The sequence below is a fragment of the Homo sapiens genome, chromosome 16 (assembly GCF_000001405.40).
Source record: "Homo sapiens chromosome 16, GRCh38.p14 Primary Assembly".
NCBI lineage: Eukaryota > Metazoa > Chordata > Mammalia > Primates > Hominidae > Homo > Homo sapiens.
The window spans coordinates 50,876,735-50,891,370 of NC_000016.10; the positions used below are offsets into that span (position 1 = coordinate 50,876,735).

The window sequence follows — 14,636 nt, forward strand, 5'->3', positions numbered from 1 at the left end:
TTAGGACCAGAGGTCCTTGGAGGCCACCGTGTATAATGCTTTCATTTTAGAAAATGGGGAAACTGAGGCCCAGAGGGGGGAAGCCTTGTACTAGGCCGAGCAGAATCGTAAATGCTTTCAATGTTCAGATGTCGGGGCATATAGAACAGGGCTTCTCACGCTTGGCTGCATTTTAGGATCATCTGGGAGAATTTAAAAAACCCTGATATCCAGGTCACAGCACAGACCAAAGAAAACAACTTCTGGAGTGAAACCTGGTCATCAACAGTTTTAAAATCTGCCCAGGTGATTCCAATGTGGGGCCAACTTTGAGAACCAGGGCTTTAGAGAGCACAGGCACCAGCAGTTTCCAATCTGTCTCCCAGGAAACCCAGTGGTTTGCAGAGTTATTTCAGAGGGTGCTGGCAGATAGGATAAGGACAGGGAGTCTCCAGACCTTCTTGTTTTGCCTTAATCAAAGGCTCTGCTTGCATCTGTTTTGTTTATTGCTCCCTTATAAAGTATCACTTGATACTTTACAAAGTGGCCCCTGCAATGCATCCCTAGGTCCATTCCTCCAACTTTGCAGATGGAGGAAGAGGTGACCTGTTCAACACCACATCAAGACCCTGAGAGAACCAGGACTTAGACCCCATCTCCTGACTCTCGGCCCGAGTTCTTCAGCCACCCTCTGATCCCAAATTCTTTTCTTTTGAAATGATGCAAGTCCTGCAAGTTCCCCCCCAAAGCATCCACATGTTCCCTCTTAATCCCGCTGGCATATCCACGCTCTCCTGTGGACCAAATTGTTTGTTTTGGGTTCTGCAGATTAATCAAGGATAGCTGGTGGTCATGGGGCATTTTGGATATAGAGATTATGTAGGAGGCTGTGAGTTGGGGGGGGTAGCAACTGACATCTAATTAGCCTTCATTTTAAGTCTCGATGCAGCAATTATGACTTCTGAATAGCAGTGGTTGTTACTGAGGATGGTCGCTTAAGCAGTGCACATAATTATTATAATTACTGTGTACCTAATGATGCCTAATAAGGAGCAACATTGCACAGAGGCGCGGTTGTTGCTCAGCCTGGTGGTCTGGGCTCTGGAGGGGGAGCAGCCGGGGTTCCGATGCTTGTGTGGGACTGTTTTGTAGGGACACCAGGCTGCCTGTTGGAGACTAGGGGCTGCAGAGTGCACAGGAAGGGAAAGCTCCCAGAGTGCACAGGAAGGGAAAGCTGTGCTGGCATCAGCTCAGAGGCAATGAGTGTGGAAGTTGCTAAGCTGGAGCTGTCCTCCTTCAACCATTGACTTCTAGGTTTTGCTTAGATCCATGCTAATTCCAGGGCTTATGGGAACTCTGCTTGGGGAAGGCACAAATGGATAGCCTTCATGGATGGAGTGTGTGTGTGTGTGTGTGTATGTGTGCATGTATTAATGAAAAATAACCACAAATCTTTATAGAGGGTGCACTACGTGCAAAGCGCTTTACATTTGCTATCTCATTTAATTTTTACAACAACCCCATTTCACAAAGGGGGTAATTGGGGTCCAAGAATAAACACAGCTAGCATTTATTAAACACTTGAATATCTGCCAGGCGCTGTACATACATGATTTCACCTGATTCCCACAACAATGCCATGAGATAGAAATTATTATCATTGCTTTCTTATTTATTCCTGTCCTACAGACGAGAAGCTGAGACACAGAGAGTGAAGACTTCCAAGGTCATTCAGCTGATACGTGGCAGAGCCAAGATTTAAATCCAAGCAGCTGAACCTTCCTTCCCTCCCTAACCAATACTGTATTTATTAACTAGCATATGCCAGGCACAGGCCAAAGCAGATTACATTCTAGTTTAGGGACACCAAACAAAATCAGATAAGCAAATAAATACATATTATCAATTATAGCAGGATATATAGCAGGATAGCAGGATGAGGAGGTGGACAGGAAGAGAGATGAGAGGAGGGTCTATTGTAAGGAGGATATACAGTGAAGAACTCAATAATCACGTGACATTTGAACAGAGGCTTGAATGTAGTGAGAGGAACAGCTGCGTATTAGGTTGGTGCAAAAGTTGGAGCCTGATCCTCTAAGGCCTTCTAGAACAGGATAATCTCTTGGTATTTTATTCCAAATGTATTGGGAAGCCCTAGGAGGGTATTGAGCAGGACGTTGTGTCTCAGAAGATGGCATGAGAATATTCCCAATGATCTGGCTAAAAATCTGGTGTAGCTCACCCCATCAGTGCCCCGCCCATATCCCCTGGGCACTCACCTTTAGACCTGAAGGCTGCTTACTGCAAAGTCCAGCAGCTCTGCACAGTGCGACAGAGGGGGACCCAGCTCCTTAGCCGCTCAGGTCTGAGATGGCTGCTCCACTCTGTCTCCCCAAAGTTCTCAGCAGGAGTAAGCTGCTCCCCACATGGAAGTCCTGTGCCTTCTCCATGGACAGAGCGCTTCCGCAACGTTTGCAGAGCTTGTCCTTCTCTCACCTCCACCTGCCCCTGGCTTTGGGCACCCATCAGGCAAGCGTGCTGCTCCCTCAAGACCTTTCCTCCCCTGCTCACCCCCATCTATTTGGCCCAAACACTGTTCTAATTTCCAGTTCCTTGAAGAGAGGTTCTGATTGGCTCATCTCGCTTGGAAGGCCCCACCCCTTCTGCACAGTCCAATCAATGGCGCTGGGGGTGGAGCCTGGTGGTAGAAAGGGGCCTCTTCTGCGCTGTTGTTGGGGCCGACACTCAGAGGAGGCGGGGCCAGGGTTTCATCAGGTTCTGGGGTTCCGGGACCCCCATTTGCCCAGTTTACAAACTCCCCATCTGGTACTTTCACTGCGCCTGGCACAGAATGAGTGCTTAATACAAACCATAATTCAGATAATCCGAGTTCCTGCCTCTACTTCTCCATCTACCAGCTGGGTGACTTTGGGTAAATCGCCTGGGATCTCTGTCAGTTTCCTCTTACGTTAAGTGGGAACAAGGACTATACCCCTGAGGTTGGCAGGTGGAGGCATCTCATCAGGGATGTGAATCAGCATGAGCTCTCATGTACTAGGCATCTAGGAGAAGATGCTGATATTCATGTTGGGCTAATTATAACCATTAGTACTAGGGACTACCGCCCCCGACCTAGGACAGCTCTGGAGCTGCCCTTTTTCTCCCCGCCCCCATCCACGCCCCTCCCCAATCCATGCTCTGCGCTGCTGTGCTGGGACCTTGCCTTCCAGTTAATAGGGGTATTGTCCCCGCCCTGCGGGAACAAGGCGAGCTCAGCTGGCCTTAGTCACAGGTCAATTGCTTCATACAAATCCGCAGGGATCCGCGGATGCTGTGACAAGGGGCGGGCGAGGGAGGGCTCCGCGTCAGGGGCAGACAGCTCCAGGTGCTGGAGGCTGCCGCGCGGAGAGGTCCGCCCAGCCAGGATGTGCGTTGTCCTGAGAATCGAATTACCCGGAACCCCAGAGCTCACCCTCTCTGAAGGAGAGCAGGTGCCTCCTGAGAGCAGGGCTTCTCTACCTTGGGGCACTATGAACATTCTGAGTGGGGTAAGTGTTTACTGTGGGAGGCCCTATTCATGGCAGGAGGTTTAGCAATCTCCCTGGCCTCTAGCCACTAGATGACAATAGCACCCCTGCCACACCCACTGTGTAACAACCAAAAATGTCTCCAGACATTGCCAAATGCCCCCTGGGTCGGGGACGAGAGGGCAAAAGCAGCCCCAGTTGGGAGCCACTGCTTTAGAGAATGGAGCTTGGAGCTGATTTCTGGGACAAATCCCATGGGATAGCCAGGACGTGCACCTGGGTAAGGCTGGAGGAGGGTATGAAAAAGGGGAGGGCTTAGGCCCTGACCAGAAAGCATCCCAGTACCGGGTAGAGATGAGGACCCCAAGTAGTGCTAAGTGGCAGCACTGCAGATGCAGAGGGTTGGAGCATGGCTTCATGGGAGGTGGTGTTCCTGGAGGAGGTGAGAAGTAGGCTGGCCTCAGGCAAGGAGGTGGAGGGGATACTCCAGGTGTTGGAAACAGCCTGAGCAAGGGCCCTGGGGTATGAAGTGAGCGTGAGACCGTATGAAGATCAGACACAGGCTGGGATCTGTCAGGGCAGGAAATGGAAATAATATTAATAGCAATAAACTGTGACCTTGATTTTTGAGTAATGGCCATGTGCCACATTCTGTTCTGAGCAGGTTACTCGTGTCATTTCATTTAGTCCTCAAAAATCTCTACAAGGTAGATTTGATTATTATTCTCATCTTGCAAGTGAGGAAACCACGGCCTCCAGATGTTTCGGGGTTCACCAGTGCACACAGCCTATAAAGGCAGGTTCACACTTCAAAGCCAGGCTATTGACCTGGCTTCACTCCTTGCCCTCAGAGCCACACCCCTCTGGGTGGGCTTGGGAGGGTGAACACAGCAGCCTTCTCCTAATTCCCTGAAGGTGGGATCAGGGCTAATCCATCAAGCGAATGAATGAACACATGAATAAGTGAATGCATGAATAGAGAAAGACTCTGGTCTGCTGTGTGTCCTGCTCCTCAGGCAGAAATCACCTTCCCACCCTACTCCTGGCCCCACCCAGCACCCCCAGCTCTCTCCCTAGGTACTCTTTCACTTTGGAAACATTCACAGGGCTTGGAGCATGCTCTGGCATGAGAGCCCCACGAAATGCGGGTTTTCTTTGATCCCCTAGCTGGGTCATGTAGAAAGAAGAGAAAGAGAGAAAGATCTAGACACCAAGAACTTCTAAGTGATGTAAACACCAGAGCAGCCGCCGAGAGCGCTCACTGCTTGTGTTGGTCTGCTAGGGTTGCCACAACAAAATACCATAGCCTGGGTGGCTTAAGACAGAAATGCATTTTCTCAGAGTCCTGGAGGCTGGAAGTCTGAGATAGAGGAATCAACAGGGGCGGTTTCCTCTGAGGCTTCTTTCCTAGGCTTGCAGATGGCACTCTTCTCACTGTGACCTCACATGGTCCTCCCTCTGTCTGTCTGTGTCCTAATCTCCTTTTCTTTTAAGGACGCTTGTCAGATTGGATTAGGGCCCACCCCAATGACCTCATTTAACCTGAATTGCTTCTTTAAAGGCCTTATCTCCAAATACAGCCACCTTCTGAGGTCCTGGGGGTTAGGACTTCAACATACAAAGTATGAGGGTACAATTCGGTTCATAATGTTGGTTTATTTCGCAGGCGCCCTGAACGAGTGCCCAGATGCTTGTGAGGCCCAGATCTTGGGGTGTGCAGCCAGGAAGGGCTCTGCTAGCTTTCCCACCTCCCTCCTGACCTCTTCTGCCCCTCACTGGACCCAGCCCGTTGGCTTCAGGATGGGCCCCACGGGACATGCTTTCATGGAACCTGAGGAAAGAATGCACTTACAACAGCGCCGGGAGCACAGAGGCTTCCCACTACCCTTTCCGAGAAGCACGTCTATTTTCTCTAATTTATTCAGTGCCGCTGTGCGTGTGTGGCCTCTCAGGTAAAGAGTGATTTCAGCTAACATGCACCATGCCTGCCACCTACCTGTACTGGAGATTTCAGACTGATGCCTCCCTTGGGTCTCCAGGGAACTTTCTGATTCAAATTCCATTTGACACAGATTCTGAAAGTGTGCCTTGCGAGGGCCCTGGCCTGCCATCCTCATTATACTCAGAAGCCCAGAAGTAGCAGTGGCAGGGGCACCCTGGAAGCCCCGGGGTTCTCATTAGGTGACAGATGCCACCACAGGCCTCTGCCATTTGCCAAGCTTCCTATTACAAGCCACCTGGGAACATTCACTCAGGGCTTTTTCAGACAGAGCTGCACATCTGGCACTATCTTGAGTCTGTGCCTCTGGGGACCCCGTCTGTACTCAGTTTCCCTATCTGCAAAATGAAAAACATAATACTTATTTCTCAGGGATGAATAGAGATAATTCAGCATGTTTTTCAAATTTCAGTGTGTTGCCTGCGCCCTCATGAGTTTTACTATGACCACATGCCACCTGTACCATTATGTTTATTTTATTTTTTAGAGATGGAAGGTCTCATTCTGTTGCCCAGGCTGTAGGGCAGTGGTGCTATCCGTAGTTCACTGCATCTTCAAACTCCCGGGCTCAAGGGATCCTCTCACCTTAGTCTCTAGTACTACAGGTACACACTACCAAACTTGGCTGACTCCTTTATTTATATAGAGATGAGGTCTCGCTATGTTGCCTAGGCAGCTCTGGAACTCCTGGCCTCAAGCCATACTCCCATCTTGGCCTCCCAAACTGTTGGGATTACAGACATAAGCCACCACACCCAACTTCATTATTTATTTAATTAATATTTCCTTAAATGAATCCATGTTGAAAGACTTGAGCTGATCTATTTCAAAAGGAAATTTTTATATTATTAGCATTAGAGGAAAATTGATATCACTTGTCACAAATGCAAAGCAATAAGAAAAGACAAAGAAGACGACGTCATAACTGTTTATCTGTGTACCAACTAAACTCATGATGAAGAGCCATGCTGTGCCTCCTGTGCTTTTGGAAGCACATGAATATAAAGGATGCCTAGGGTCTGGCACATAGTAAGTACTCAATGAATGATCACTGCTATGAAGAAAATGAGGCCAACGTGGTGTCGGCCCTTGGAAACATTTCTCTGAGTTGGTCAAGGGGAACAATTTTGCTCCAAGAAACTGTCATATTTATTCTTCTCTGATAATTAGAGCTCCACAATTTATCATGGTCGTAAGTTGCAAAAATGGCAACAACCATCACTCTTCCCAATAAGAAGTGAAGTCCATTTCCTGCCCCTAAAATCTGGTCTGGCCTTGTGACTTGCTTCAGCCAATGGAACATAGCAGGAGTGCTGGTATACCAGTTCTAAGCCTAGAGGAAGAGGCTTTCCAAGGGGCCTGACAGCTTCTGCTTTCTCGGGCCCCTGCTATCACCATGTGAACAAGCCTGGGTTGGCCTGCTGCTGGATGAGAGGCCATGTAGAACCCAGCCAAGGTGTCCCAGTTAAGGCCATCTCAGAGCAGCCAGCACCCAGCACCCAGCAGCCTGCCATTGGTCTCCAGATGCACGCATGAGCCCAACCAAGATCAGCCAATCCTGCCTCAGACCAGCAGAACTGTGCAGCCCAGCCTGAGATTTGTGAGGAGTGACAAATGGTGTTTTCAGCTTCTAGATGTTGGGGAGATTTGTTATGCAGCAACAGCTGGCCTTCCCATTTTGTCTTGTTTGTTGCGATGGTGCCCAGTCATAGCAGCTCCATTTGTGCTAGAATTATTTATCTATTTCCTCTTCTTAATTGTCTTCCCTTCCTTTTTCACTCCTTTGTGTGTGTTTTTGAAAGACACCTCAAGTATCTTTGGAAAGGAGCTGGATATAGATAATAAATTGAAAATCGAACTGAGAGTTGGTCTGAGAGTCCCTGCCATTCTTGAGGCTAGCCTGTGGGGACACGAGGAAGCATGGAAGATGGACAGCGGTGGTTTTGGTGACAAGGGGATCTTTTCTCTGCAGTGCCCACTTTGTTCATCTCTGCTCACTGGGGGAGCCAGGACACGGATCCAGGTTTTCTGACTCCAGGTCTCAGGCTTGCTCCATAGCGCCACCTGCTGGTGACGGCAATCGGTGTGGCGGGATGGGCTGGGGGAGGCGGGATGGGCTGGGGGAGGCGGGATGGGCTGGGGGAGGCGGGATGGGCTGGGGGAGGCGGGATGGGCTGGGGGAGGCGGGATGGGGGTTTGCTCCTGGCATTACCACTGGGCTCTTTCTGTTTGCTGGGCACAGGTAGGCACCCAAATCAAGACTCAGATTTCCTCATCTCAGAAGTTGTCCACTTCTTCTCCGACCTCCACGGTAACTCGGAACCACACCGTGGAGTTATCCCTGTGTCCTCTTTCTCGGAAGTTCCACATCCAACCCCTCAGCAGGTCTCAGCGGCACTCTCACCACCTCCTCTGCTCTGTTCCTGTTTCTCTTGGATGGTCGAATGTTTCCTAAGGAGTGTCTGCTGCTTCACGCTTGCCCCCTGGAGTGGCATCTAAAAGGTGCAGGTCAGATGAATCTTTCTTCTGCCAGGGCTCCCGGCTTAGCCAAGGAAAAGCACAAGTCCCTGACCATATCCTGCAAAATTCCACATCTGGGAACTCAGGCATATCAGGCCTGGTCTCTTTTTCTTCTTCCTTTTAAAATAACGAATACATTGACATGCCCCTTATTACACCATGCTGAAATGAAATTCATAGGCAATATCACCTATCTATAGACACAATTTACATAAATCCATGTAAGCCACATAATGCCCTAATTGTATTCTAGAGGAGAATTAAAAGGAAACGAATTTATAATAAAATAATAGTTATCTCAGCATGTAAATATTCCAGCCCAACTCTTCTGAAAAACACAATGAAGGTGTCAAAGCCCCCTCTGCAGGTAGACTTTCTAAGAATGGGACACGACAAATACAGTTTGGCGCCCACTCAGTGATTCAAACTCCATGAAGGGCATGGCTTTCACTGATGGAGTCCTCATGAAGGTGATCAGCTCCTGATAAAGCCCCCAGAATAACAGAGCATAACCTCCGCTTGATCCACACACAAGCAGCAGCCCCAGAAATCTCAGTGTTTAATGAAATTGAGCAAAACATGAACACAAAACCAAAAATAACCCCACATTCCTTTGGGTTAAATGTGAAATCAAGTTAGGTTCCAGGCTCCAAATTCTATCTAGGTTTTTTACCTGCCTTGATATATGTTGGATAATTCTTTGTGTGAGGAGCTGTCCACACATCACAAAGGTTCTAGCATGTGGGCCTCTACCCACTAAATGCCATTAACACCCCCAATCTTTGTGATGACCAAAAACAGGCCTACAAATTTATAACCTTCCCACCACTCACCTATAATCTGGCTGTTCTGGATTCCACCCCAACTTCTTTCCTGCTATATTCCTCCTCACCTACTGCATTCCAGCCCTACTGGCCTCCTGACCTATGAGTTTATCTGGGAGAAGAATGTTCTAGGCAGAGGGAATATTCAGTGCAAATATCCTGGGGTGGAAATGTGCCTGTCTTGGTCCAAGAACAGTAAAGAAGCCAGTGTGGCCTTAGCAGGGTGAGTGAAGGGTAGAGAAGTCGGAGATGAAATTAGAGGCAGCAGGGCCCAGAATGAGGGACCTGCGAGGTTGTTAAAGGGACTGACATTTTAAATTCAAATTGATGGCTTATTTTGAAATGTCAGGAGATTTTGCAAAACTGAGCCTGCATTTCTGCATAGCAACCATTGGTGAGGCTTGTTCCCTGTGGCAGGGCTGTCTCCTCTTCAATTTGCCACAAGCCCCACCCATCCCTATTGCCTCATGCATCCACCTGCTTTGCTCGTGTACATTGCCTGTCTGCCCCATAGGGATATGAGGTTACAAAGTCTCCCCACAGGGGAAAGGGTGAGGGGAAAGATAGTGAATATGGGTGTGGAGGGAGAAGGCAGTTTTCCCCCTTCCCTCCTCTGGGGAGCACAAGGCCAGGCTTTTCTGGGAAGGGACTCTGGGAGGCTGTGGGTGAGGTCTCCTCTCTGACACTGCTCTGCATGCTCCACTCCCAGGTCACCTGCTGAGAAGGCATCTCTGCAGGGGAGGCCGAGGCAAGGGCACCCATGGGGACGCCTCGAGGAAATAGTGAAAATGTTTTCCCAGGGAAAGCCAACACTGCCATTTGTTTTAGTTGCTTAAATTATATGTGTTATTTATTTTTTAAGTGGTCTGTCATTATTGGTGAATGGGGAAGCCACCCAGCCTCACAATGCAACCAAAATTTTAGATATTGCTATGTAGTTATTAACGAATGAGCTTTTCATCTTTGGAAAATGTGCTGTGCATGAAGCCCAGGGGGCTGGGTTTCTTGTTATTGGGTAATTATAGCCCATGAGGAGGGGGTGGCCTGGGTCTTCAGCAGCAGGCGGGGTGGGACTTTTCAGGCTCTCTGCATGGTGGCTCAGCCATCCATTCGTATATTTATTCAAACATGCATATTGGGCGCCTACTGTGTATGAGGTGCTGCTCCAGATACTGAGAGCAATGATATTAATATAAAGAATAAAGCCACCACTTTCATCATGCTTACTGTGTGCCAGGCACTGTTCTGAGTGCTGTACCTATATTAACTCATTTCATTATCCAAACAACCCAGCAGGTAGCATTTTCCCCATTTTACAGATGTGGAAACTGAGGCACAGAGAGACAGGAACAAGAGACACTGGCTTCATGTATGCATAAGAAATTTCCATGCAATGGAGAAAAATCCAGCAGAATTATATGACAGAGAGGGCCTGGAAGGGGCCACCTGTAGATAGGGTGGTCAGGGAAGGCCTCCCTGGGGGAGGTGGTGGGGAGAAGGAGACAACTATGGAGAGATGTTAGTGCTACCCGTGGCGAATCCCTATGGGTCTGCAGAACCTCAATTCTTGCCTCATCAGAAGAAACAATCCCACTGAGTAGGCATAAGACAGAAGGAGAGACCGAGGAAAGTCTTTAGAGCAGGAATGAACGTTTATTAAAAAGTTTTAGAGTGGGAACAGAATGAAGGCAAGCATATTTGGAAGAGGGCCAAGTGGGCAACTTGAAAGACAAGTGCCCTGTTTGACCTTTGAATTGGGGTCTTATATGTGGGCATACTTCTGGGGTCCGGCTTCTCTTCTCCCCTGATTCTTCCATTGGGGTGGGCTGTCTGCATGCACAGCAGCCTGCCAGCGCTTGGGAGGGGACCATGCACAGTATATTTACTGAAGTTGTACGTGTGCTTACTTGAGGCGTTCTTCCCTTACCAGTCAAATGTCCCTGGAAGGTCATATACCAAGTAAATGCTGCCATTTTGCCTCTTAGCGCGCATGCTTGAGTCCACTTGCCCAACTCTGGGATCTTATCAGGAAGCTGCTGATCACCAGTTTCAGATGTTTTCAGCTATTGGGAGACTGCTTTTCTCTGGCGCTGGCTGCGACCAGTTATTACTTCAGAGAAACAGAAAGAAGGAAGCTGGGGCCGAGGGAATGTGGTTTTGCTGTAAAAATCTGACTGCACTCAGAGCCTGGGACTTTCTAACCGGCATGTGATGGTCCTGGGTGGGGGGCCTTGGCTGCTAAGCTGGAGGCTGGGGTCAGGGCATGGCTGGGAATAGCGGTCTCTCAGGGTGCAGAGAGGACACTCAGGCACTTGAGTTGACCCTCACTTGTGGGTGGCTGGACAAGGAGGTGCTGAGGCCTCAGGCGGGGTTTCTCAAGGCAGAATTAAGGGCCACCTCCCCCATCCCCTACTCCCACCCTCTCCACTTAGGAATTCCCTGTGGTGTTTTTTTTTTTTTTTTTTTTTAACATATGCAGATTTATGGGCTTCACCAGATCCTTCTAATGCTAAATATTAATGGCATTTGCAGTCTGGAGCAGAGGAGCTGGGTGGGGGCACTGGGAGCTGAACACATCCCTGGACACGGCTGTCTCACTGGAGGGGGTTGAGTTCTGCAGAGAGAACCCTAAATGCAGAACCAGGACCGAGGGGCACACGTTCTAGGAAGAAATTTTAATTCAAGTTACTCAAGGATTTTGTAAAGGCTGGAGCTGTCCAAAAGCTGGAAGACGTGGACTCTAGGGTCAGGCAGACCAGATTGAGTCTTTGCTTGACCACTCTTGGTTGTCAGACCAAGGGACTTAACTTCCTGTTGCCTGAGCTTTCTCAGCAATAGAATGGGGACAAACACAGCAGCCACTCATAAGAGTGAAATGAGTTAACACATGGACAGTGCCTAGAACACTGCACACAGTAAGTGCTCAATAAATGTCAGCTGTAGTCATCCGCACATTCTTATTACTGGCAATAGAAGGACTTGCCTTTACAGGCAGATCAACCTCTTGTGAGGACGGAAGCAGACTCTAATGCCCCTTGTTGCTGATTCAAGGGGCCTCTGGAAGACCCTTCCACCCTAAAGTGATGTTTCCAACTGTCCTCTATTGCCACGGGCTAAAATGGCAATGGCTTTTGCTTCCCTGCTCTGGGGTCTCTCTGGGAAGCTCTAGAAAACTGGGAGAATAAACAGATCCAGCCTGGCCACAAGGGACTCTCTCACCATCAGATGCCATTAACCAACGGAGTGTCCTTCCCCATCACTTGGGAATCACAAAGTCACCAGAATTCTTACGCCTTTGAGAAAGGGTGTGCCATGCCGGTCGGTAGTGTGACTTGTACTGGATCAAAGTCTCTCTCTGGAGGAAGCTGGGCCCAGGGACTGCTCACTGCCAGAGAACATTTCAGCCTTCCCTCTGAGACTGGGTTCTTTCTGCTGAGAGCCTGTGGAGGCTGAGATGGCCAGGTGGGGAGTGATGATTGATGATGGTGATGATGATGATGATGATGATGATGATGATGATGATGGTGACGGTAAAGATGAAAAAGAAGAGAAAATCATAAAGATGGCAACCATTACTATTGTTCTTTCTCACTCCGCTGAGCACTCACAATGTATCAGACACAGCATTCAGGGTGCTTCCCCATTCATTATCCCAGCTAATCCTTGCAGCAACCTTTATGAGGTGCGTGCTGTCGTCTCTACTTTATTTAAGAGAGAAAATGAGGCTGGTGGAGTTGAAGCTCCATGTTCAAGGCTCCAGGCAAGCAGGAGCTGGAGCCGGATTAGAGCCCAGTTCTGGGCATCCACGCCTTTAACCGCTAAGCCATGCTGTCTCAATGTAGCCACCCCAGCAGCCTTGGCCCAGTGGGCCGGTAAGGCTGGCTTGTTGAGAAAGGGACACTGGTATAGGGCATACCCTTGGTGTCAATGGGGTGAGTTTGAGAGATGGGACCGTTGAGGACTGAGGAATGTGAAAGGCAAGACTTTTTAGCAGAAGCTGCCTCTAAGGAGAGGCCTCCTTCATCACCCTGCTCAGACTGCACTCCACCCTTGGCATTCCACACTCCCTTGGTACTGCAAGACAAGGCAATGATAACCACTCGATTTCAACTGAAATCACTTGTTTTTTCCCCCTTCCCAACTGGGCTCTCCCCTGAGACCCAGGTGTTAATGAAATCAAACAAATGAAAATGGGTAAATTATTGCAAAGCTATGAACACCTCCACAGGGCCACGCCTCACTAGTTTCCAATACCACCTCATTCTGGAGGCTGCCGGAGGAGCTGAAGCAATTTTGTCCCATGGGTGAGGTGGTGGAAGGAAGGGACAAAAGAGACAAGATATTGCAATCAGAAGGTCGCTGACCCAGGCTTTTGTATAATTATAGAATTTCATTTCGGGCCAACTGGATGGACGACTGAGCTTGTTGGCAAATTAGTGGTGAAAAATAAAGCAATTTTTAGCGTCCTTGAAAGAGTTGCCACTCCAGTGAAGTGTCAGGGCCCCAGAGTCGGGGAGGAAGGGATGGATGGAGAAGAGGGGCCTAGGTTGGAAGCAGCTAATCATTTGAACTCATGAGGCAGAGACGTTTTAGTTGGGGATCTGGGTGAACATGCCCCTTGCTGCCCAAGGGGATGATCCTGACTACCTTTGGGGTGTGTCTTCAGGATAGAAGGTGCTGAGACATGAATCTGGCCTGAACTGCCCTCTTCCTAGAATGATTCTCCAAGAATCAGGTGCGGAGATTTTTCTTTTTTCTAAGTAGTGTCCAGACCAGTCTGACATATAACCCTGGCTTTGCCTTGACATGACCAAGGACAAGCCTCTTAGTCTTTCTGAACCTCAGTTTTAATTATTTTGTTAAAATGGAGAACAGGAACATTCACCACATGAGATTAGCCCAGTTGATTATAGATGAGAAAGTACTTTACACATTAAAATGAAATATGGTTTTGCTTGATATTATTCTTTCCACGCTTTTATTATGAACATTGCTTTTTATTTTTAGCAAATAGATTTGGCCTCTTGCCTTATCACCAATTACCTTTATTATTATTATTGTTGTTGCTATATCTGCCCATGGATCCACTCTATAATTATTTTGTTGACACTTTTTTTTAGATTGTCTTACTTTTGCAATTTTCACTTAAATACCCCTTCTAGCTTTATGTTAAGCCAAAATATACATGAACATACTGGTTTCTTTTCTTTCTTTCTTTCTTTTTTTTCTGAGACAGAATCTCTCTCTGTTTCTCAGGCTGGAGTGCAATGGTGTGGTCTTGGCTCACCACAACCTCTGCCTCCTGGATTCAAGGGATTCTCCTGCCTCAGCCTCCCAAGTAGCTGGGATTATGGGCATCCACCACCACACCTGGCTAATTTTTTGTATTTTTAGTAGAGACGAGGTTTCACCATGTTGGCCAGTCAGGTCTCGAACTCCTGACCTCTGGTGATCAGTTCGCCTTGGCCTCCCAAAGTGCTGAGATTACAGGTGTGAGCCACCACGCCCAGTTCACAGTCTGGATTATTAATGACCCTATTTCAGATCAAAAGTTCCTGAGGATTGGAGAGAGGGACAAGACTTGCCTGAAGACATACAGTCAGGCAGTGGTAGAGCCAGGACTCGAACTCAGAATCCTGTGACCCCCAAAGTGCTGTGTCCTCTCCATGAATGGACCAGACCACAGAGGCTGGGAAGTGGTGTCATTACTCTCTTCCTTTCCCCATAATTAACCAGTTGGGGAAGGTGAGATAAACCAAAGCTGAACTAGGTACCCACAAGGGTTTA

At 48.4% G+C, this 14,636-nt stretch overlaps 1 long non-coding RNA gene across 21 annotated transcripts in view, besides 1 other annotated feature; it reads left to right on the top strand.

The window, feature by feature from the left end:
• LINC02128 (long intergenic non-protein coding RNA 2128) overlaps nt 1–14,636 on the top strand; it is a 61,006-nt gene that overhangs the window by 36,679 nt on the left and 9,691 nt on the right. For 3 of the 21 annotated variants that reach the window (NR_184287.1, NR_184288.1, NR_184291.1), the window contains 2 exons: nt 7,478–7,588; nt 7,748–8,007. The exons of 2 other annotated variants lie outside the window; for them this stretch is intronic. This is a non-coding gene — a long non-coding RNA (long intergenic non-protein coding RNA 2128). Of the gene's footprint in view, nt 1–3,442; nt 3,787–5,172; nt 7,370–7,477; nt 7,589–7,747; nt 8,014–14,636 lie in introns of those variants that run through there. 16 more of the 21 variants (NR_184296.1, NR_184303.1, NR_184292.1 and 13 more) reach the window with 15 other exon arrangements.
• Nucleotides 2,156–3,067: an enhancer, noted in NCBI's record as "H3K4me1 hESC enhancer chr16:50912801-50913712 (GRCh37/hg19 assembly coordinates)". NCBI's record gives its function as "activates a minimal SCP1, AML or CMV promoter by ChIP-STARR-seq in naive H9 embryonic stem cells {active_cell/tissue: H9 hESC(naive)}" and the evidence as "EXISTENCE:reporter gene assay evidence [ECO:0000049][PMID:30033119]".